A 25,160-nucleotide genomic window follows, 5' to 3' on the forward strand; every position below is an offset into this window, starting at 1 on the left:
TTTTTTCTTTTTTGAGACAGAGTCTTGCTCCATCGCCCAGGCTGGAGTACAGTGGTGCGATTTCAGCTCACTGCAACCTCCGCCTCCCGGGTTCAAGTGATTCTCCTGCCTCAGCCTCCTGAGTAGCTGGGATTACAGGCGCGCCACCATGCCTGACTAATTTTTGTATTTTTAGTAGAGACGGGGTTTCACCATGTTGGTTAGGCTGGTGTCGAACTCCACACCTCGTGATCCGCCCGCTTTGTCCTTCCAAAGTGCTGGGATTACAGGCGTGAGCCACCGCACACAGCCTAATTTTTTTGTATTTTTAGTAGAGGTGGGGTTTCACCACGTTGGCCAGGCTGGTCTCGAACTCCTGACCTCAGGTGATCTGTCCACCTCAACCTCCCAAAGTACTGGAATTACAGGTGTGAGCCACCATGCCCGGCCCATTTAAAGTTATGAAAGGAGCTGGGTGCGGTGGCTCATGCCTGTAATACCAGCACTTTGGGAGGCCGAGGCAGGCGGATCACGAGGTCAGGAGATTGAGACCATCCTAGCTAACACAGTGAAACCCCATCTCTACTGAAAATACAAAAAAAATTTAGTGGGGCGTGGTGGCGGGCTCCTGTAGTCCCAGCTACTCGGGAGGCTGAGGCAGGAGAATGGCGTGAGCCTGGGAGGCGGAGCTTGCAGTGAGCCGAGATCGCACCACTGCACTTCAGCCTGGGTGACAGAGCGAGACTCTATGTCTCAAAAAAATAAATAAATAAAAAGTTATGAAAGGAGTGGACATTTATTTTTATTCAGTTTTTTCTCAAGGTGAAGGTAACTGTTTGTAGATGTCCTAGAGAAATATTGTAGCTTTCTGTTCACCCTTTGCAACTAAAAAGCATGGACTGTTCCACTACTGAGATTTAAAAAATAAAGTTATGAAGGGAAAAGTCTGGTGTAATACAGTAGCAAGTGGTGGTATAAATAAATAAGTAGCAAAAATTACTTTCCTTTGAGGTGAGGAGAGTTGTGGATTCATTTTCATGGTAGAAGCTGCTAAGCAATCCTGGGAGGTTTGGAGTTTAAATACAATGGGAAACTAGTCAGAGTTATAAAGTATATTTATTTTATTTCTTTTGAGATAGTTTGAAACAAATTTCTTAACCCCATGCTGTGAATATTAATTTTTTCATGATTTATGTAGTTTGTTTATCGATGGACACTTTTACAACAGGATTTATGAAGCTGGGTCGGAGAACAACACGGCAGTTGTAGCAGTAGAAACTCACACGATACACAAAATTGAAGAAGGGATTGGTAAGGGTTTTTTTGTGTTTTTTTTTTTTTTTTTTTTTGTCATTCTAATACCTTTGACTTTAGCTTCCTTGGTTGAGTTTTCTTGCCATCTGTGCCTTATGTTTTTCTCCCATCCCTGTGTGCCCTACCAGTACTACAGCCCTCGATTTTGATGGTGGTACATCTTGAGACACCACTGACTAAGATGCTAGGGTCGTCAGTTGGTTGGTTAATGTCAATTTGGAAGGGTAACTGAAAAGACTTTTTGTCGATAAAAATCCCATATAGAAATTGGAGCCTCAAAGTTGATCCCTGTCATTAAATAAGTTGTTGATGATGACTGATGAGGTATTGTCTAGAAGGCAGTCAGTGGAAAGAAACTGGAAAGAAACCGAAATTTAACAAACCTTAGTTTAAATCCCAATTTCTCATCTCTAAATGTGTCCTTGGGAAAGTCAGTTAGCCTTTCTGAAGCCCATATACTTACATTTAACACCTAGGAAACAATTAATTAATTAATTTAAAAAACATCTGGTCGAGCGCAGTGGCTCACGCCTGTAATCCCAACACTTTGGGAGGCTGAGGCAGGCGGATCACCTGAGGTCAGGAGTTTGAGACCAGCCTGGCCAACATGGCGAAACCCCGCCTCTACTAAAAGTATAAAAATTAGCTGGGTGTAGTGGTGCGCGCCTGTAATCCCAGTTACTCAGGAGACTGAGGCAGGAGATCCCTTGAACCCGGGAGGTGGAGGTTGCAGTGAGCCGAGGTCACACCACTGCATTCCAGCCTGGGCAACAAGAGCGAGACATCATCCTAAAAAAAATAAATAAATAAAACCACCTACACCAGGCGAGGTGACTCATGCCTGTAATCCCAGCACTTTGGGAGGCCAAGACAGGTGGATCAGTTGAGGTCAGGGGTTCAAGACCAGCCTGGCCAAGATGGTGAAACCCTATCTCTACTAAAAATACAAAAATTAGCCGGGCGTGGTGGTGTGTGGTATATGGTTATAATCCCAGCTACTTGGAAGGCTGAGGCAGGAGAATTGCTTGAACCCAGGAGGCAGAGGTTGCAATGAGCTGAGATCACGCCACTGCACTCCAGCCTGGGTGACAGAGTGAGACTCCATCTCAAAAAAGAAAAAAAGAAAAAAACACCTAGGAAACAATCATTGCCTCACAGGTTTGTTGTAAGAACTAAACAAGATTATGTGTGTAAAATACATAGTATGGTGTCTGGCACACTGTGAGAGCTTGGGAAGAGATAGCTCTTAGGCCAAACTTCTTCCAGAGGATTCCTAAATGATACCAGCAAGAGTGAAGTATTAGTCCCTTAGAGGAACCAGGAGACTAGAGATTTTGAATTTCAGCTTTGGGGAAGAGTTGTTTGATAAATAACTGATATTTTTTCTGTTTTCAGATACAGGCACTATAGAAGCAAATGAGGATATGGAAATTGCTTACCCCATAACTTGTGGGGAGAGCAAAGCCATCCTCCTCTGGAAGAAGTTTGTATGTCCAGGAATAAACGTGAAGTGTGTCAAGGTAATTGTCTTTTCCATGCTGAAGCCAAATTTGGGACTCCTTGTTCTCAAAGGGTGTGAGTTCCATGCATCCTTTTTATCTTCCACTATATCAGTTTTATTTATTTATTTATTTATTTATTTATTTATTTATTTATTTATTTTGTGGCTATTGTCCTAATGTGTCACAATAGAAAAAATAAGAACTTTGGGTTGGGTGTGGTGGCTCATGCCTGTAATCCTAGCACTTTGGGAGACTGAGGTGGGAAGATCACTTGAGCCCAGGAGTTCAAGACCAGCCTGGGCAAAATGGTGAGACCTTGGCTTTCTTTTTTTTTTTTTTCAGACAGTGACTTTCTGTTGCCCAGGCTAGAGTGCAGTGACATGATCTTGGCTCACTGTAGCCTCCACTTCCTGGGTTCAGGTGATTCTCCTACCTCAGCCTCCTCTGTAGCTGGGACCACAGGTGTGCACCACTGTGCCTGGCTAATTTTTTGTAGAGATGGGGGGTTTTGCTATGTTGCCTAGGCTGGAAAACCTTGCATCTTCAAAAAAAACTATTGGCTGGGTGAGGTGGCTCATGCCTGTAATCCCAGCACTTTGGGAGGCTGAGGTGAGTGGATCACCTGAGGTCAGGAGGTAGAGACCAGCCTGGACAACATAGTGAAACCCCATCTCTACTAAAAATACAAAAATTAGCTGGACGTGGTATTGGGCGCCTATAATTCCAGCTACTCCGGAGGCTAAGGCAGGAGAATCACTTGAACCCGGGGGCAGAGGTTGCAGTGAGTTGAGATTGCGCTGTTGCACTCCAGTCTAGGTGACAGAGTGAGACTCTGTCTCAAAAAAAAAAAAAATTATTAGATTGACTAGCCAAAAAAATACATGATTGATAAAAATAGAATTGCTTATTCTGTCTTCATTAGGGCTGGATAGATTATTTCAGTTTATTTGAACAGCCTTTGTTTGCCACACTAGACCTGATTCCAGGCATAAATGGATTTTAGATATTTATTAATATATTTATCTCTGATCTCTGCATGTATTCTGTGGCTTTGTACCAGGAATTGAGACTATGCTCAGAGAAGGATCGTCTTCTCTAACACAATAGTACAGGAGGTTGGATAATACAAGGCTTAGGATGTCATCTGGGTATTTTTTATACAAATGATGTAGAGTTATCATTTCATTATTTCCCCTCTTGGCCTGCCTAAGTTGACATTAGACTCTTTGGACTTTTCTTTTTACTTTTAGTTCAATGATCAGTTGATCAGCCCCAAGCACTTTGTTCATCTGGCTGGCAAGTCCACTCTGAAGGACTGGAAGAGAGCTATTCGTCTGGGTGGGATCATGCTCAGGTAAGCTCTAATGTCAAGCACATACCTTTCAACAAACTTTGGGGCACATAATCATGCTAGAATCTGGGCTTTTCTCTTTAGGTTGACATTTTTATTCTTTCTGAAGAATTGGCTTGAGCAATCCGTGCATTATTTGACTTTAATCAACTTAAAAATCCTGGGAGACGAGATTGATTTTTTTTTTTTTTTCTGAGATGGAGTCTCACTCTGTCGCTCAGGCTGGAGTGCAGTGGCATGATCTTGGCTCACTGCAACCTCCGCCTCCCGGGTTCAAGCAGTTCTCTGCCTCAGCCTCCCGAGTAGCTGGGATTACAGGTGCCCACCACCACGCCCAGCTAATTTTTTGTATTTTCAGTAGAGACGGGGTTTCACCATGTTGGTCAGGCTGATCTTAAACTCGTGACCTCATGATCCACCCATCTCGGCCTCTCAAAATGCTGGGTTTACAGGCATGAACCACCACGCCCAGCCTCTTGTTTGTTTGTTTTTGAGACAGAGTCTTGCCCTGTCACCCAGGCTGGAGTGCAGTGGCGCGACCTCGGCTCACTGCAACCTCGGCCTCCCGGGTTCAAGCAATTGTAGTTTTTAGTAGAGACGGGGTTTCACCATCTCGGCCAGGCTGGTCTTGAACTCCTGACCTCGTGATCCACCCACCTCCGCTTCCCAAAGTGCTAGGATTACAGGCGTGAGCCACTGTGCCCGGCCATTTAATTCTTTTTAACAGGGAAAACAAAAAAAGGATAACATTTTTAAAAAGAAATAAAAAATTAAAAAATAAAAATAATTATTTTTAAGGAATCTCTTTCAAGAAAAATCCATAATGCTTGTAGAGATTCAAGCATAAAGATGTTTATTACATTATTTATTAATGTAAAAATTATAGTCTGCTTTAATATATAGTCAAAAGACTTCTAAAGTCAATTATGGCTTGTGTAAATTTATATGAGTATATACTATGGAATATTTTGCAGTCATTAAAATATTTCTGAAGAGATTTTACATGGAAAAATGCTTATGACAATTTGAAGGAAGAAAAATATAAAATTCATTAAACTGATTTTGGCTGTGTTAAGACATACATATGTAAGTAAAATTTAGTAGAAGAAAATATGCTAAAATGTTGACATGGTCTGTGTGTTGTAGGATTTTTTTTTTTTTTTTTTTGAGACGGAGTCTTGCTCTGTTGCCAGGCTGGAGTGCAGTGGCGCAGTCTCGGCTCACTGCAACCTCTGCCTCCCGGGTTCAAGTGATTCTCCTGTCTCAGCCTCCCCAGTAGCTGGGACTACAGGCGCGTGCCACCATACCCAGCTAATTTTTGTATTTTTTTTTTAATAGAGACGGGGTTTCATCATGTTAGCCAGGCTGGTCTCGATCTTCTGACCTCCTGATCCACCCGCCTTGGCCTCCCAAAGTGCTGAGATTATAGGCATGAGCCACCATGCCTGGCCTAAGATTTTTTAAAAAGAGCAATTGAAAAAAAAAAAAGCCCATGTTCTGTCACTAAGGCTGGAGTGCATTGGCATGATCAGCCTCAATCTCCTCAGCTCAAGCAGCCCTCCAAAGTAGGTTGGACTACAGGTGTGAGCCAGTGTGGCCAGCTGAAAATGCTAAATATTTTCTTAACATAGGTTTTTTTTTTTTGAGTTGGGATCTTGCTGTGTCGCCCAGGCTGCAGTGGCACGATCTCAGCTCACTGCAACTTCCGCCTCCCAGGTTCAAGTGATTCTCCTGCCTCAGCTTCCTGTGTAGCTGGGATTACAGGAGCACGCCACCTCGACTGGCTAATTTTTGTATTTTTAGTAGAGACAGGGTTTCACCATATTGGTCAGGCTGGTCTCGAACTCCTGACCTCTTGATCTGCCCACCTCAGCCTCCCAAAGTGTGGGGATTACAGGCGTGAGCCACCGTGGCCAGCCTTTTTTTTTTTTTTTTTTTTTGAGACAGAGTTTTGCTCTGTTGCCCAGGCTGAAGTGCAGTGGCATGATCTTGGCTCACTGCAATCTCCACCTCCTGGGTTCAAGTGATTCTCATGCCTCAGCCTCCTGATTAGCTGAGATTACAGGTGCGCGCCACCACACCCACTTAATTTTCTTGTATTTTTAGTAGAGACAGGGTTTCACCATGTTGGCCAGGCTGGTATTGAACTCCTGACCTCAAATGCTCTGCCCACCTCACCTCCCAAAGTGCTGGGATTACAGGCGTGAGCCACCACACCCCACTTTTGTTGCCAAGGCTAGAGTGTAATGGCGTGATCTCGGCTCACTGCAAACTGTACCTCCTAGATTCAAGCAATTCTCCTGCCTCAGCCTCCCAAATAGCTGGGATTATAGGCATGCGTCACCATGCCTGGCTTATTTTGTATTTTTAGGAAAGATGGGGTTTCTCCATGTTGGTCAGGCTGGTCTCAAACTCCCAAGCTTAGGTGATCCACCCGCCTTGGCCTCCCAAAGTGCTGAGATTACAAGTGTGAGCCACCATTCCCGGCCCACATCATTTTTTTAGTCAGAGACACAGAAACATTATTTGTGTTCTTTTTGTTTTTATTTAAAAAATTTTTAAATTATTTTACTCCTGTACTTCCAACAAAACATTATTTTAAAAAAATTTTTTCGGCCGGGCGCGGTGGCTCACGCCTGTAATCCCAGCACTTTGGGAGGCCGAGGCGGGCGGATCACGAGGTCAGGAGATCGAGACCATCCCGGCTAAAACGGTGAAACCCCGTCTCTACTAAAAAATACAAAAAATTAGCCGGGCGTAGTGGCGGGCGCCTGTAGTCCCAGCTACTTGGGAGGCTGAGGCAGGAGAATGGCGTGAACCCGGGAGGCGGAGCTTGCAGTGAGCCGAGATCCCGCCACTGCACTCCAGCCTGGGCGACAGAGCGAGACTCCGTCTCAAAAAAAAAAAAAAAAAAAAAAAAAAAAAAAAAAAATTTTCAGATGATTTGTATGCAGAAATTAGTAATCCAATGAAATTGGGAAGGAATATCTTTATTTTTATTGTTTGTTTATTTATTTATTTATTTATTTATTTATTTATTTTTGAGACAGGGTCTAACTCTGTCACCCAGGCTGGAGTGCAGTGGCGTGATCTCAGCTTACTGCAACCTCAGCTTCCTGGCTCAAGTGATTCTTCAGCCTCATCCTCCCAATTAGCTGGGACTACAGGCCTCAGCTACCATGCCTGGCTGATTTTTGTATTTTTTATAGAAATGTGGTTTCACCATGTTGGACACGCTGGTCTCAAACTCCTGAGTTCAAGTGATCCTCCTGCCTTGGCCTGCCAAAGTGCTGGGATTACAGGCGTGAATCACTGCACCTGGCTGAGGAATACCTTTAACTTTGAGTTTTGTTGTTCTTGGCGGGTTTTATTTACCCAGAAGGACAAGCATATGCCAATTTTCCCCAAATGTAAAAGAGTCAGGATACTAAAAAATCTTTAGTGAAAGCCAAATGACATTATAACATAGAATTTACTATAATTAAAATACCCCATGGTTTTGCTCATGTCCTATAACGTTTTGTGGATCCAATTATAAGGACATTTTCCAGAGTGGGTTTAGTATAGTGAACTTTTTTCTGTATTCCTAGGAGAGTTTTTTAAAAGACTGAAACTTTATGTCTGTGAAAGTGGCACCAGATCTTGCTGCAATACTCATAATGAATAAACTACAGAGGGAGGAGGAATACTGGTAAATGTGGGCAGGACCAGTGAAAATTTAAAGCCCCAATTAGAATTTTTGCAACCTAATGACTTCTAACACTATTAGGTTTCACTAATCTACACAGTAGGCTCAGCAGTGTTGTCCCTATTTTTCCCTGAGGCCTAGTTCCCACTAGATGAAGTATAGGCTGAACTGGTACTTCTTGTCTCCCTTTGCACAGGAAAATGATGGACTCCGGACAGATTGATTTTTACCAACATGACAAAGTTTGCTCCAATACCTGCAGAAGCACCAAATTTGATCTTCTGATCAGCAGTGCAAGAGCTCCAGTGCCAGGACAGCAGACAAGTGTGGTGCAGACACCCACTTCGGCTGATGGTAGGGGGTAGGAAACCACCTGAAAACCCATTGTGTTTTTCAGCAGAACTTTCCCCCTTATTTCTCCCTTGTGTGTACATATATATATATATATATATATATATATATATATATATGTATTTTTTTATTTTAATTTTTTTTGAGACAGAGTTTTGCTCTTGTTGCCCAGGTTGGAGTGCAGTAGCGTGATCTCAGCTCACTGCAACCTCTGCCTCCTGGGTTCAAGCGATTCTCCTGCCTCAGCCTCCTGAGTAGCTGGGATTACAGGCATGCGCCACCACACCTGGCTAATTTTGTATTTTTAGTACAAACAGGGTTTCTCCATGTTGATCATGCTGGTCTTGAACTCCCAACCTCAGGTGATCCGCCCACCTCGGCCTCCCGAAGTGCTGGGATTACAGGCATGAGCCACCATGCCTGTCCCCTTGCATATTCTTAATTTCAATTCTCATGAACATTGATGTGCCTTGTTGTAAAGTATGGTAATCTTGGATGGGATTCCATGCTTTGGAAACATGCTTTGTTTTCTTCCCAATGATTCCTATTGGTCAGACCTCCTCCTTTGTTTTTTCCTTACAATGCATTGTAGGCATTAGAAAGGTAGTTCAGTAGTTACAATACTTACATAACAGTTTCACTTTGGTGCCACTTGGCATATTAAGGTTGAATTAGGCTGTTTTGAAAAATGCTCTGCAGGCTAGGCGTGGTGGCTGACGCCTGTAATCCCAGCACTTTGGGAGGCTGAGGGAGGCAGATCATGAAGTCAAGAGATCGGCCAGGTGCGGTGGCTCACGCCTGTAATCCCAGCACTTTGGGAGGCTGAGGCAGGCGGATCACGAGGTCAGGAGATTGAGACCATCCTGGCTAACACAGTGAAACCCCGTCTCTACTAAAAATACAAAAAAATTAGCCAGGTGTGGTGGCGTGCACCTGCAGTCCCAGCTGCTGGGGAGGCTGAGACAGGAGAATGGCGTGAACTCGGGAGGCGGAGCTTGCAGTAAGCCGAGATGGCACCACTGCACTCCATCCTGGGCAACAGAGTGAGACTCCGTCTCAAAAAAGAAAAATGAGGTCAAGAGATCGAGACCATCCTGGCCAACATGGTGAAACCCTGTCTCTACTAAAAATACAAAAATTAGCCAGACATGGTGGCGTGCACCTGTAGTCCCAGCTACTTGGGAGGCTGAGGCGGGAGAATTGCTTGAACCTGGGAGGCATGGGAGGCAGAGGCTGCAGTGAGCCAAGATCATTCCACTGCACTCTAACCTGGCAATAGAGCAAGACTCCGTCTTAAAAAAAAAAAAAAGAAGCCTGGGCATGGTGGCTCACGCCTGTAATCCCAGCACTTTGGGAGGCCAAAGCGGGCAGATCTCAAGGTCAGGAGATCGAGACTATCCTGGTTAACACGGTGGAACCCTGTCTCTACTAAAAATACAAAAAATTAGCCAGGTATGGTGGCGGGTGCCTGTAGTCCCAGCTACTCGGGAGGCTGAAGCAGGAGAATGGTGTGAACCCAGGAGGCGGAGCTTGCAGTGAGGCAAGATGGCGCCACTGCACTCCAGCCTGGGCGACAAAGCGAGACTCCATCTCAAAAAAAAAAAAAAAGAAAAATGCTTTGCAGCTGTGCTTTGGCTCACGCCTGTAATCCTAGCACTTTGGGAGGCTGAGGCGGGAGGATCACCTGAGGTCAGGAGTTCAAGACCAGGCTGGCCAACATGGTGAAACCCTGTCTCTACTAAAAATACAAAAATTAGCCGGGTGTGGTGGCGCATGCCTGTAATCCCATCTACTTGGGAGGCTGAGGCAGGAGAATTGCTTGAACCCAGGAGGTGGAGTTTGCAGTGAGCCGAGATCGTCCCATATTCCAGCCTGGGTAACAGAGCAAGACTCTGTCTCAAAAAAAAAGGAAAAAAGAAAAATGCTTGCTTTACTAGTGGTCAACACAAGAGGTAGATTAGAATGATGAGTGGTTTTCACCCATTATACTGAGGTGTATCAAAGACAATGTGATTGGCTGGACAGGACTCTGGATACCCCACTGTAATGATTGGAGTTGTCTGCTTGGAGGGGCTCCTGATTACCAAGTTGAGGCTTCCCACAGATGAAACAGATGAGCACACTTAACTTCAGTATTGTTGAGTTTGGTACTAGGGCTCCTTACCATCCAGGAAAGATGTAACTGTAAGATTATTATTAAGGATTTAGTTAGTCCAGCTGGAGACTTACTATATAGTTGGATAAAATGTATCTCAACTACTGTTACAAGACTTACAAATATGCCTGAGAAAAGTCACAAGAATGCTAAAGGATCTAAAAGGTTAGGGACATACACTGTGCTTGTAAATTGACCTCTTTTTTTTTTTAAGACAGAATCTTGCTTTGTCACCCGGGCTGGAGTGCAATGGTGCAATCTTGGCTCACTGCAACCTCCCCCTCCCGGGTTCAAGCAATTCTCCTGCCTCAGCCTCCCGTGTAGTGAGATTACAGGTGCCCGCCACCAAGCCTAGCTAATTTTTTGTATTTTTAGTAGAGACGGAGTTTCACCATGTTGGCTAGGCTGGTCTCAAACTCCTGACTTGAGGTGATCCACCCACCTCAGCCTCCCAAAGTGCTAGAGTTACAAATGTGAGCCACCATGCCTGGCCCTTTTTTGTTTTTTTTTTTCTTTTTTGCCTTGTCTTACGGTGCTGAAAAAATGACCTCTTAATGGCTGGGCATGGTGGGTCACACCTCTAATCCCAGCACTCTGGGAAGCTGAGGCAGGAGGATTTCTTGAGCCCAGGAGTTTGAGACCAGCCTTGGCATCTTGTCGAAAACCCATCTCTACAAAAAATAAAAAAATTAGCTGAGCATGGCGGTGTGGGCCTGTGGTCCCAGCTACTAAGGAGACTGAGGTGGGAAGATCACGTATCAGTGAGCTGTGATTGTGCCTCTGCACTCCAACCTAGGTGACAGGAGCGAGAGACCCTGTCTCAAAAAAAAAAAAAAAAAAAAAAAGATCTTGGCCGGGTGCAGCGGCCCACGCCTATAATCGCAGCACTTTGGGAGGCTGAGGCAGGCGGATCATGAGGTCAGGAGTTTGAGACCAGCCTGACCAACGTGGTGAAACCCCATCTCTACTAAAAATATAAAAATTAGCTGGGCATGGCTGGGCGCGGTGGCTCACACCTGTAATCCCAGCACTTTGGGAGGCCGAGGCTGGCAGATCACAAGGTCAGGAGATGGAGACCATCCTGGCTAGCATAGTGAAACCCTGTCTCTACTAAAAATACAAAAAAAATTAGCTGGGCGTGGTGGTGAGCGCCTGTAGTCCCAGCTACTCCGGAGGCTGAGGCAGGAGAATGGCGTGAACTCGGGAGGTGGAGCTTGCAGTTAGCCGAGATCGCGCCACTGCATTCCAGCCTGGGCGACAGAGCAAGACTCCATCTCAAAAAAAAAAAAAAAAAAAAAATTAGCTGTGCATGGTGGTGCATGCCTGTAATCCCAGCTACTCAGAAGGATGAGGCAGGAGAATTGCTTGAACCTGGGACGCGGAGACTGCCGTGAGCCGAGATCATGCCACTGTACTTCAGCCTGGGCAACAAAGTGAGACTCTGTCTCAAAAAAAAAAAAAAAAGATCTTTTGGTCAGTTCTAATATTCTGTGTGTATCCAGTGGGTGAATAGAGGCCAGAATCCTTGAAACCTAAATCCCTTTCAGGAAAGTATAAAATATCTGGCGGTTTGAATATTTGGACACTTGACTCTTTCACTTGAAAAGTGAAAAATACTGTGAAATGCTATTTACAGTTGGCCCTTGAACAATATGGGTTTGATTGGTGGGGGTCCACTTTTATGCAGCTTTTTTTTTCCCAACCAAACATGGATGGAAAATATGGTATTTGCAGGATGCAAAACCCGGGTCTATGAAGTGTTGAGTTTTACTTTTTGTATATATGGGTTCCACGGGGCTGACTTTAGGACTTGAGCATGTACAGATTTGGTTATATATGCAGGTGGTCCAGGAATCAATCCCTCATGTATACTGAGGGACAACTGTACTTCCTTTTTATTTGGCTAAAAGTCTTTTACTTGATTATCTTTTGCCCGATGATTGATATCCTCCAGTGTGTAGAGTCCGTACTTTCCTATATTGCTGTTTGGATCAGTTTGGTTTTTCTTGATTCTCTTTGTTTAAAAGCTGTCTTTTTTTTTTTTTTTTTGAGATGATTTCGCTCTGTCTCCCAGGCTGGATGGAGTCCAGTGGCGCGATCTCGGCTCACTGCAAGCTCCGCCTCCCGGGTTCACGCCACTCTCCTGCCTCAGCCTCCTGAGTAGCTGGGACTACAGGCACCCGCCAGCACACCCGGCTAATTTTTTGTATTTTTATAGAGACGGGGTTTCACCGTGTTAACCAGGATGGTCTCGATCTCCTGATCTCGTGATCCGCCCACCTCGGCCTCCCAAAGTGCTGGGATTACAGGCGTGAGCCACTGCGCCTGGCCAAAAGCTTTCTTGTTTTTTGAGACAGGGTCTTAGTCTGTCACCCAGGCTGGAGTACAGTGGCACAACCATGGTTTACTGCAGTCTTAAGCCCCTGGGCTCAGGTGATTCTCCCACCTCAGCCTCCTGAGTAGCTGTAACTACAGATGTGCACCACCACACCCAGCTAGTTTTTATAGAAACTGGGTTTTGCTATGTTGCCCAGGCTGGCCTCAGACTCCTGGACTCAAGCAATCTGCCCACCTTAGCCTCCCAAAGTGCTAGGATTACAGGCATGAGCTACCACGCCCAGTCAAAATCTTACTATACAAGTAATAGCAAAGGGTATTTTTCCCCTCTGTGAATCTGCTATACATGAATCTCTTATCTGATTTTTATGGTCTCCATTTCTTTTACTTTCTCTTTATAGGCTAATAAATAAGTTAGATGCTTAGCATCAGACTTGCTTGTAGTAGAGCTCTTGGGAAAGCACTATACCTTTCTCTTAAATTATTTCAAGCTTTCTTCACCCTCAGTAAGTCTGGGGCTGGCAGGCTAGTAGGGGCTGGCAGGCTAGTAGTAATGTCTATCTTCAATCTCTTTCAAAAACATACCTACCTAGGAAACACATTGCTCTTTTGTGATTTTGTAAGTTATCTTTCACTTTCTATTCAAAGTAAGAAAGCATTTTCCTTTGCAAGGCAGGTTTTCTTTAGAAAATCCAATATTCATCCTAGCTTACCTAAGAGTCTAGTTTTTAAAATAGGGACCTGCAGCCAAGAGGCTAGAATGTTAAAATAACAAGGTCTTTGTAGCTATTGAGTATGAGATATAGGATAGCTATAACTTTTTCGTTAAATTCACTGTTCTCACCTCTACTGGACTGTTTTTAGGTAGCATCACGCAGATTGCCATCTCAGAAGAGAGCATGGAAGAGGCAGGGCTGGAATGGAACTCAGCTCTCACCGCTGCTGTCACCATGGCCACGGAGGAGGGTGTAAAGAAAGACTCAGAGGAAATTTCAGGTATTCTTCTATAGGGCTCAGATGTCTTGCAGGGTCTTGTGAGCCTTATCACCATTATCATTATGGACACGGAAGACCTCTTAATTACTTTCGCTGGATTTTCTCATGCACGTAAATACTAACTATAGCTACAAACATCCTACTTTAATCCATGCAATAGCCCTGCATAGTCACATTTTACATACAAAGAAATCAGAATTGGCCGGGCGCAGTGGCTGACGTCTGTAATTCCAGCACTTTGGGAGGCCAAGGCAGGTGGATCACAAGGTCAGGAGATCGAGACCATCCTGGCTAACACAGTGAAACCCCGTCTCTACTAAAAATACAAAAAAAAAATTAGCCGGGCGTGGTAGCAGGCGCCTGTAGTCCCAGCTACTCGGGAGCTTGCAGTGAGCCGAGATCGCGCCACTGCACTCCAGCCTGGGCGACTAAGCAAGACTCCATCTCAAAAAACAAAAAACAAAAAACAAGAAATCAGAATTTAGAAAGGTTCAGCAACTTGCCTAAGACCAGTCACAAACAAGTGTCAGAGCTGAATTTAGCTGTTTGACTATGTAGTCTATGCTTTTCTTCTGATCAGACTGCCTCCAACTTTGGCACATTTCTTAGATAGACTAAGTTTTGAGATATTAGAAGGAAAAAATAGGTGGCAAGTGTTGTAGAGCATGGTGATTAATGATGATTCACTTAGAGGGGACCAGGAGAGGCTTCACATCACCCTCCAATTATTTATTCATTTAATAGGTATTTATTATTGCCTATTTTTAGTTGGCACTGTTGTTAGATGCTGGGTGCGTAGATGAAAAGACAGACCAGGTGCGGTGGCTCATGCCTGTAATCCTAGCACTTTGGGAGGCCAAGGTGGATGGATCACCTGAGGTCGGGAGTTCGAGGCCAGCCTGACCAACATGGAGAAACCCCGTCTCTACTAAAAATACAAAATTAGCCTGGTGTGCTAGTGCATGCCTGTAATCCCAGCTACTCGGAGGCTGAGACAGGAGAAGCACTTGAACCTGGGAGGTGGAGGTTGCAGTGAGCTGATATCACGCCATTGCACTCCAGCCTGGGCAACAAGAACGAAACTCTGTTCTCAGAAAAAAAATAAAAATAAAAAAATAAAAAAAGAAAAGACATAGCCACCACCCTCAGAGAGCTTATAGCCCCATCTATCCAACTGTTTTGTTTTGTTTTCTTAAGTATAGGACTAGAGAGAGTATATCTTAATTAATATTTCATTTCTTTACTATTTAACTTTTATGATATTAAATATCTCGTTTTTAAATTAAATTAAAATTAAATAATATGTAATGTTAAATATGTTTAATGTTTAATATTTTTATTGGAGGAAAATGACTATTCTTTGTAGTGAGAACTATGACAAATTGAGAGAATGACAAATTGAGGCAATCATCCCAAGCACCTATGCTGCTGAAGGGGCGACATAATTGGGTGCCCACTCAGGGAAGCATCTAGTATTCCAAAGCTTATTCCCTTTTTTCAGGAATGGCCCAATAAGAAATCATTTTGAGTTAAAATAATTTTGAATTTAACGTTGTAGAGATTTGCCTAAGTATCTAGGTAGTGTCTCTTTTTTACCCTCTGTCTTATCCTTCTTGTGCCAGAGGACACTTTGATGTTCTGGAAAGGAATAGCTGATGTAGGGCTGATGGAAGAGGTTGTCTGCAATATACAGAAGGAAATAGAGGAGCTACTCAGGGGAGTTCAGCAGCGGCTCATCCAGGCTCCCTTCCAAGTCACAGGTAAGTGCACTAATCCTAACAGTAGCAGTGATTTATTGAATACTCACCTCCGTAGGCAGGTCCTGTAAGCCTTGCAAAAACCCTGATGTATAGGTATTATTATCTTAATTTTACAGATAAGGAAACTAAGGCTCATATAAGTTAAGTCACTTGTCTAAGGTTCATAACTAGGTTTTGAACTCAGATCTGGCCATGCTTTTCCACAGGTAATTTTTGTCTTTATAAATGGTGCCAGTAGTCTGGGCAACATAGTGAGATGCTTTGTCTCCACAAAAAAAATTTTTTTTTTTTTTTGAGACGGAGTCTCGCTCTATCGCCTAGACTGGAGTGTAGTAGCGCAATCTCAGCTCACTGCAACCTCCGCCTCCTGGGTTTTAAGCAATTCTCTCTGCCTCAGCCTCCTGAGTAGCTGGGATTACAGGCGCCCACCACCACATCCGGCTAATTTTTGTATTTTTAGTAGAGACAGGGTTTTGCCATGTTGGCCAGGCTGGTCATGAACTCCTGACCTCAGGTGATCCCCCCGCCTCGGCCTCCCAAAGTGCTGGGATTACAGGCATGAGCCACCGCTCCCAGCCTACAAAAAACTTTCTAAACATTAGTCAGGTATGGTTGGTAGTGGGTGCCTGTAGTCCCAGCTACTTGGGAAGCTGAGGCATAGGAGAATCACTTGAGCCCAGCAGTTTGATGCTGCAGTGAGCTATGATCATAGGACTCTACTCCAGCCTGGGTGACAGAGCAAGACCTTGTCTCAAAAAAAAAAAAAAAAAAAACACAGGCCAGGTGCGGTAGCTCACGCCTGTAATCCCAGTACATTAGGAGGCCGAGACCGGCGGATTACTTGAGGTCAGGAGTTCGAGACCAGCCTGGCCAACATGGTGAAAACCTGTCTCCACTAAAAATATGAAAAAAAAAAAATTAGCTGGGTATGGTGCACATCTGTAATCCCAGCTACTTGAGAGGTTGTGGCACGAGAATTGCTGAACCCAAGAGGTGGAGGTTTGCAGTGAGCCAAGGTTATGCCACTGCCCACCAGTCTGGGTGATAGAGAACAAGACTCCATCTAAAAAAAAAACTGACAGAAAGCATCCTCTCTCGCGCGATATATGTATTTTCTTTTTTTTTTTTTTTTTTTCCTGAGACGGAGTTTCACTCAGTCACCCAGGCTGGAGTGCAGTGGCGTGATCTCAGCTAACTGCAACCTCCACCTCCTGAGTTCAAGCGATTCTCCTGCCTTAGACTCCTGAGTAGCTGGGATTACAGGCGCATGCCACCACACCCAGCTAATTTTTTGTATTTTTAGTAGAGATGAGGTTTCACCATGTTGGCCAGGCTGGTCTCAAACTCCTGACCTTGGGTGATCCGCCCGCCTCGGCCTCCCAAAGTGCTGGGATTATAGGCATGAGCCACCGCGCCCAGCCGATACATCTATTTTCAGACTCTCTGTATACATTCATTATGTGGTATGTCCACTATGTGTATGTATAGAGAAAGAGTCTGAAAATTGGAGAAATCCACTTGTTTTTAGATTATTCTCATATTCGGCCGGGCGCGGTGGCTCACGCCTGTAATCCCAGCACTTTGGGAGGCCAAGGCAGGCGGATCACGAGGTCAGGAGATCGAGACCATCCTGGTTAACACGGTGAAACCCCGTCTCTACTAAAAATACAGAAAATTAGCCGGGCGCGGTGGCGGACGCCTGTAGTCTCAGCTACTTGAGAGGCTGAGGCAGGAGAATGGCATGAACCCGGGAGGCAGAACATGCAGTGAGCCGAGATAGCGCCACTGCAGTCTGGCCCAAGCGGAAGAGCGAGAGACTCCATCTCAAAAATAAATAAATAAATAAATAAATAAATAAAGATTATTCTCATATCCTATTAATTTAAGGCTTTCTGAACTTGTTGTGTTCACTTATAGCTGTTTCTGAATACTTTCAGGGTGCTGCTGTGCAGAATGTAAAATGACGTTCTAATCTAATAGAAATGGGGTTATGGGCCAGGCGTTGTGGCTCACGCCTGTAATCCCAGCACTTTGGGAGGCTAAGGCAGGTGGATCACCTGAGATCAGGAAGTCAAGACCAGCCTGGCCAGCATGGTGAAACCCTGTCTCTACAAAAATACAAAAATCCGCGAGGCATGATGGCGGGTGCCTGTAATCCCAGCTACTCAGGAGGCTGAGGTGGGAGAATCGCTTGAACCCGGCAGGTGGAGGTGGCAGTGAGTGGAGATCACACCATTGCGCTCCAGCCTGGGTGACAGAGCGAGAGTCCGTCTCAAAAAAAAAAAAAATGGGATTATGATGAGATGAGACCTTGTGTATTCAGTGAATTCTTATTTATTTATTTATTTATTTAGAGACGGAGTCTCACTCTGTTGCCCAGGCTGGAGTGCAGTGGCGTGATCTTGGCTCACTGCAACCTCCACCTCCCAAGTTCAAGTGATTCTCCTGTCTCAGCCTCCTGACTAGCTGGAATTACAGGCAAATACCACCATGCCTGGCTAGGTTTTTTGTATTTTTAGTAGAGATGGGGTTTCACCATGTTGGCCAGGCTCGTCCTGAATTCCTGACCTCCGGTAATCCACCTGTTTTGGCCTCCAAAAGTGCTGGGATTACAGGCGTGAGCCACCATGCCTGTCCTCCAGATTTGGTTTTTTTTTTTTTTTTTTTTTTTTTGAGATGGAGTCTTGCTGTCTCCCAGGCTGGAGTGCAGTGATGCGATCTTGGCTCACTGCAAGCTCCACCTGCCAGGTTCACGGCATTCTCCTGTCACAGCCTCCCGAGTAGCTGGGACTACAGGTGCCCACCACCACGGCCAGCTAATTTTTTATATTTTTTGTAGAGACGGGGTTTCACCGTGTTAGCCAGCGTGGTCTAGATCTCCTGACTTCATGATCTGCCCGCCTCGGCCTCCCAAAGTGCTGGGATTACAGGCGCGAGCCACTGTGCCTGTAAAATTTTAAGAGATTTAAAATTTTAAATCTCTTAAAAATTTGTATTTTTAAGAGATTGTTCTGGTTGCTGTGTGGAGAGTAGACTCTTATGGGGAAAGAGTAGAAACAAGACCAGTTGGGAAGCTCTTAAAGGAATTAGTCCAAGCAAGAGATAATGTATCATGGATTAGAGTGGGTAGCGGTAAAGTTAGGAAGAAGTGATTAGATTGAGAATGTATTTTGAATGTCGAACTACTAAGTCTTGCTGATGGATTGGAGGCAGGATGAAAGAGAAAGAAAGATACCGGGATGATTCACACATTTTTGGCCTGAGCTGTGAGTGGTGATGCCATTTACTGAGATGAAGGCCACTGGGAGAGGAACAGTTTTAGAGAGGAAATAAAAATTAGTTTTACCTCTTAAATTGAGATGACTATTAGACCATCAAATAGAGATGTCACTCATCTAGATAGAAGTATGAATGTGGAATACAGGAAAGAGGTCAGGGCTGGAGATGTACATGTGGGAGTGCTCAGCATGTGTGTGTTATTTCAAACCATGGGACCAAGTGAGGTGACTGTGGAAGGGAATGTAGGTGAGGTTGTCCAGGTTAAGGAAGCAATTAACACAAATACTGACAATTTTTTTTTTTTTTTGGAGACAGGGTCTTGCTCTGTCATCCAGGCTAGAGTGCAGTGATGCAGTCACAGCTCACTGCAGCCTCAACCACCTGGGCTCAATTGATCCTCCTGCCTCAGTCTCCCAAGTAGCTGGGACTACAGGCACATACCACCACACCTGGCTAATATTTGTAGTTTTTGTAGAGACAGGGTTTTGCCATATTGCGCAGGCTGGTCTCAAACTCCTGTGCTCAAGCAATCCACCTGGCTTAGCCTCCCAAAGTGCTGGGATTATAGGCGTGAGCCACCACACCTCGCTCTATCACCCAGGCTGGAGTGCAGTGGTGCAATCTCAGTTTACTGCAAGCTCCACCTCCCAGGTTCACACCATTCTCCTGCCTCAGCCTCCCGAGTAGCTGGTACTACAGGTGCCTGCCACCACTCCTGGCTAATTTTTCATATTTTTAGTAGAGGCGGGGTTTCACTGTGTTAGCCAGGATGGTCTCGATCTCCTGACCTCGTGATCCACCCACCTCGGCCTCCCAAAGTGCTGGGATTACAGGCATGAGCCACCGTGCCTGGCCCAATTTTGTTTTTTTGAGACAGAGTTTCGCTGTTGTTTCCCAGGCTGGAGTGCAGTGGTGCAATCTCGGCTCACTGCAACCTCTGCTTCACGGGTTCAAGCAATCCTCCTGCTTCAGCCTCCCAAGTTGCTGGGACTATAGGCATGCACCACCACGCCTGGCCAATTTTTTGTATTTTTTTGTATTTAGTAGCAACGGGGTTTCACCATATTGGTCAGGCTGGTAATCCACCCACCTCGGCCTCCCAAAGGGCTGGGATTACAGATGGGAGCCACCACGCCCAGCACTCTGGGAGGCTGAAGCAGGTGAATCACTTGAGGTCAGGAGTTCGAGATCAGCCTGGGCAACATGGTGAAATCCCGTCTCTAATAAAAATACAAAAATTAGGCCGGTCGAGGTGGCTCTCGCCTGTAATCCCAGCACTTTGGGAGGCCGAGGCGGGCAGATCACAAGGTCAGGAGATCAAGACCATCCTGGCTAACACGGTGAAACCCCATCTCTTCTAAAAAATGCAAAAAAAATTAGCCTGGCATTGTGGCGGGCGCCTGTAATCCCAGCTACTGAGGAGGCTGAGGCAGGAGAATGGTGTGAACCCGGGAGGTGGAGCTTGCAGTAAACTGAGATTGCACCACTGCACTCCAGCCTGGGCGACAGAGCAAGACTCCATCTCAAAAAAAAAAAAAAAATACAAAAATTAGCCAGGCATGGTGGCGTGCACGTGTAATCCCAGCTACTCAGGAGGCTGAGGCAGTCAAATCGCTTGAACCTGGGAGGCAGGGCTTGCAGGGAGCCAAGATTGCGCCATTGCACTCCAGCCTGGGTGACAGAGTGAGACTCCATCTCAAAAAGAAAAAAATAATAAAAATAATAATCTTGCATGCCAGTCCCCATGTTTGACACTTAAAATATATTTCTAATCTTCATGTCTATTTTGCAGAGTAAGTGTTATTAATCCCATTCATTTTAGATGAGAAAAGTGAAGAGTGAAATGACTTACCAAAGGTTGCACATATGGGAAATAGCAAAACTGAGATGAACGTTAACTCTATCTAGTACAGGGACCATGTTTTCAAAACCTAAAGTCAGAACTATAAACAGATGCAAGATATTAAAAAAAAAAAATTTTTTTGAGATGGAGTCTGGCCCTGTCTTCCAGGCTGGAGTGCAGTGGCACGATCTTGGTTCACTGTAACGTCTGCCTCCTGGGTTCAAGTAATTCTCCTGCCTCAGCTGCCTCCCATGTAGCTGGGATTACAGGCACATGCCACCACACCGAGCTAATTTTATTTATTTATTTATTTATGATTATTATTATTTTTTACCCAGCTAATTTTTGTATTTTTGTTAGAGACTGGGATTACAAATGTGAGCCACCGCTCCTGGCCTTAAAATTTTTTCAAATTGGCCGGGCGCGGTGGCTTGTGCCTGTAATCTCAGCACTTTGGGAGGCTGAGGTGGGTGGATCAAAAGGTCAGGAGTTCGAGACCAGCCTGGCCAATGTGGTGAAACCCCATCTCTACTAAAACTACAAAAATTAGGCAGGCGTGGTGGCAGGCACCTGTAGTCCCAGCTACTCGGGAGGCTGAGGCAGGAGAATGGCGTGAACCCGGGAGGTGGAGGTTGCAATGAGCTGAGATCATGTTACTGCACTCCAGCCTGGGGGACAGAGCAAGACTCTGTCTCCAAAAAAAGGAAAAAAAAATTGTTTCAAATTTATGTAAGTAGAGACAGGGGTCTCACTATGTTGCCCAGGCTGGTCTTGAACTCCTGGCCTCAAGCAATGCTCCCGCCTTGGCCTCCCAAAGTGTTGGGATTACAGGCATGTGCCACCATGCCCAGCCTGATCTTTGTATTTATTTATATGGAAAGATTTACAAAAATATAACAATTAAACCAGTAGTCATTATACATGTAATAAATCTTTGTTAAAAATGTGTTAAAATGCAGTTAGGAGAGTCCCATAATTTCTGGTTGTTTCATATTTATAAACAGCACAATGGAGAGTGGTGGAACATATCTGTTTTAACTGGACAGGCATGTCTTTTGTTTTAAATAGATGCTGCTGTTCTCAACAATGTAGCACACACATTTGGCCTAATGGACACAGTCAAGAAGGTTTTAGACAACAGAAGGAACCAAGTAGAGCAGGGAGAAGAACAGTTTCTCTATACTCTGACAGGTATGTATAAGTTATCGCTCTTCTTCGGTGATATCATGCTAATATTCTTGTCTTCCCATTTTCTTGTTGACTTTTGTTGGGGTAACTTTTTTTTTTTTAAATAGTATCAGATTTTGCTTTTAAAAATAAAAAAAAAAGCCGCAGATGAGGTGGATTGATGAGAAACAAAAGAGGCACAAAGGAAAAAAAAAGGAAGCTGCCATCATAGTCCCCCTTCTGTGTCTTGTGGAGGATTAAGATGTCTCTTAGATTGCTCCATTAATTCAATAACATTGGTGGCAGAAGACACAAATTGGTCTTTGTCTTTTTTACATTATTGATACTGCATCTTTTGATAGATATAAATTTAGCACTTTCTCCATTATTTGTGGTAATCAGAAATTTTGTGTAATCCCAGCACTTTGGGAGACTGAGGCAGACAGATCACGAGGTCAAGAGATTGAGACAATCCTGGCCAACATGGTGAAACCCTGTCTCTACTAAAAATACAAAAATTACCTGGATGTGGTGGCGCGTGCCTGTAGCCCCAGCTACTCGGGAGGCTGAGGCAGGAGAAGGGCGTGAACCCGGGAGGCGGAGGTTTCAGTGAACCAAAATAGTGCCATTGTACTCCATCCTGAGGGACAAGAACGAGACTCTGTCTCAAAAAAAAAAAAAGAAAAAAAAACCTTTAAACCGTCAGAAAACTGGTTTTTGTTAGAAATACAGGCTTTTGGTCCCTTGTGTGTATTATTTCTTCAGATATTTTTAATCATTGTATACATAAAGTTTTGTTTTCTGCTTTTTTTCACCATGACATATTTTTCTTTTTGTTTGTTTATTTGTTTTTGAGACAGGGTCTCACTCTGTCACTGAGGCTGGAGTGCAGTGGCACAATCACGGCTCACTGCAACTTTGACCTTCCCCGAGCTCAGGGTGACCCTCCCACCTCAGCCTCCTGAATAGCTGGGACTACAGGCATGTACCACCGTGCCCAGCTGTTTTGTATTTTTGGTAGAGATGGGGTTTTACCACATTGCCCAGGCTGGTCTCAAACTCCTGGACTCAAGTTATCCACCCACCTCAGCCTCCCAAAGTGCTGGGATTATTAGTGTGAGCCATTGTGCTCAGCCCTATTAGTATTTTTCAAGTTGCTACTCAGTACTCAGTATAGCACAGAACACTTCTGTAATCAGATGTGTAGGGGTTTTTCTGCATATACCGAGCAATCAACTCTCCAGTGGACACTGACTGGGTATTATATAATTCAGTTCAATTCTGATACTATCCCCCTGGAGATAGCATCAGATCACACAGGTGAGGCTCAGTCCCAAAAGACTGCCTCCCATTCAGCCCCAGGTTGTGACCTGTGCTTTTTTTTTCTTTTTTTTGATTAATTGTTGAAGGCAAACTGCAAATGACCTGTGCTTCTGACCAACTGGCTATAAATTGGGGTTCCCACAATCACCTTCTTGCGTTTGATTAATTTGCTAAGGTGGCTCACAGAACTCAGAGAAGCAGTTACTCAATGTTTATTGGGTTTATTATAAAGGTTATTACAGAGGATACAGATGAATAACCAGATGGAAGAGATGCATGGGACAAGGTGGGAAGGAGAGTGGGACTTCCATGCACTCTGTAGTCACGCCACTCTCAGGAACCTCCAACAATCTGAAGCTCTCTGAACCCTGTACTTTTGAGGTTTTATGGAGGCTTCATTACATAGGTATGGTTGATTACTTCATTGGCCATTGGTAATCAACCTACAGCCTCTCTCCACTCCTTGGAGGTTCGGGGGGAGGGCTGAAAGTCCTAGTCTTTAATCATGCCTGGATCTTTCTGGTGACCAGCCCCCATCTTGAATCTATCTAAGGATTCCAAGATACCAGTCATCTCATTAAGATATAAAGACATTTATGCCGGGCGCAGTGGCTCATGCCTGTAATCCCAGCACTTTGGGAGGCCGAGGTGGGCGGATCATGAGGTCAAGAGATTGAAATCATCCTGGCCAATATGGTGAAACCTCATCTCTACTAAAAATACAAATATTAGCTGGGTGTGGTGTTGCATGCCTGTAGTCCCATCTACTCGGGAGGCTGAGGCAGGAGAATCACTTGAACCAGGAGAATTGCTTGAACCTGGGAGGCGGAGGTTGCAGTGAGCCAAGATCGCGCCATCACACTCCAGCCTGGCGATAGAGCGAGACTCTGTCTCAAAAAAAAAGAGATATAAAGACATTTACCACGCTGGGCCGGGCATGGTGGCTCACGCCTGTAATCCCAGCAATTTGGGAGGCCTAGGCGGGCAGATCACGAGGTCAGGAGATCGAGACCATCCTGGCTAACATGGTGAAACCCTGTCTCTACTAAAATACAAAAAAAAAAACATTAGCCAGGCGCGGTGGCGGGCGCCTGTAGTCCCAGCTACTCAGGAGGCTGAGGCAGGAGAATGGTGTGAACCCAGGAGGCAGAGCTTGCAGTGAGCCGAGATCGCACCACTGCACTCCAGCCTGGGCGACAGAGCGAGACTCCATCTCAAAAAAAAAAAAAAAAAAGACATTTACCGCTCTGGAGATCCATGTGTTTTAGGAGCTGTGTGCCAGGATCCAGGGGCAGAGACTAAATATGTATTTCTTATTATATCACAATATCACACATAGGGAGCAAAGTGCTCTACAAGTGTAATTGATTCTTTCTTGGGTGCTTATCAGGTACTAAGTAATAGGTTCCATTGTAGAAGCCAACTTACCAGTGGTCACCTAGGGTTGGACTGGTCACTTGGGAGAGGGATAGTGATAGGCGTACTATAATGCAAAAGCAACCAAGTTGACCATTGTCCTGGCCCAATCTTCATAACCTTAAATTAGTCATTTTCCCTCTCTGGATCCCTGTCAAAATGAATTTGTTTGAGCTCTTAAGACCTCTTTTAGTTCTGTAATTTTTAGGGACTTCTTCTATAACTTTCTGTAGACCTTCCTAGGCAACAATTGTAAACTGTGGCTGTTTGAGTCACCAGCAAAGGAGTTTTCCAGCCAATGCAGCAAGGCATTCTTGCCTTGAAGGATAGTTTGAAAATCACTGTTTTTTGGAGTGGCCATTGTAGCTCCTTTGTAGGTGCATGAGAGTTCCAAGGGACTGTGCCAGCTGGGTGCACTGGCTTATGCCTGTAATCCCAACACTTTGGGAAGGTGAGGTGGGTGGATCGCTTGAGGCCAGAAGTTCGAGGCTATAGTGCGCAATGATAGCACCTGTGAATAGCCACTACCCTCCAGCCTAGGCAACATAACAAGACTCTGCCCCCCAAATAAGCACAAGAAAGAAAACAATGTCACAACTTGCCTGAAGCTACTTAGTAACAAAACCAGACAGAGACACCAGGTCTCCTGACTCTCAGTTTAATGCTCCCAAGATTTTACTTCCCTCTACACAAAGTCTT

At 44.8% G+C, this 25,160-nt stretch overlaps 1 protein-coding gene and 1 non-coding gene across 14 annotated transcripts in view; both read left to right on the forward strand.

Annotated features, from left to right (window-relative positions):
• The window catches only part of GMEB1 (glucocorticoid modulatory element binding protein 1), a 51,125-nt gene that overhangs the window by 20,668 nt on the left and 5,297 nt on the right, over nucleotides 1-25,160 (forward strand). For 6 of the 13 annotated variants that reach the window (XM_047438136.1, NM_006582.4, XM_011540519.3 and 3 more), the window contains 7 exons: nucleotides 1,178-1,290; nucleotides 2,689-2,813; nucleotides 4,046-4,149; nucleotides 8,031-8,188; nucleotides 13,542-13,673; nucleotides 15,296-15,433; nucleotides 21,624-21,746. In XM_047438136.1, the coding sequence (XP_047294092.1) occupies nucleotides 1,178-1,290; nucleotides 2,689-2,813; nucleotides 4,046-4,149; nucleotides 8,031-8,188; nucleotides 13,542-13,673; nucleotides 15,296-15,433; nucleotides 21,624-21,746 (893 nt within the window). Of the gene's footprint in view, nucleotides 1-1,177; nucleotides 1,291-2,688; nucleotides 2,814-4,045; nucleotides 4,150-8,030; nucleotides 8,196-13,541; nucleotides 13,674-15,295; nucleotides 15,434-21,623; nucleotides 21,747-25,160 lie in introns of those variants that run through there. The other 7 variants (XM_047438283.1, NM_001319674.2, NM_024482.3 and 4 more) reach the window with 2 other exon arrangements.
• On the forward strand, nucleotides 769-898 carry LOC124904809 (small Cajal body-specific RNA 24). Its single transcript, XR_007067396.1, has one exon.

Source organism: Homo sapiens, chromosome 1 (assembly GCF_000001405.40).
Source record: "Homo sapiens chromosome 1, GRCh38.p14 Primary Assembly".
Taxonomy (NCBI): domain Eukaryota; kingdom Metazoa; phylum Chordata; class Mammalia; order Primates; family Hominidae; genus Homo; species Homo sapiens.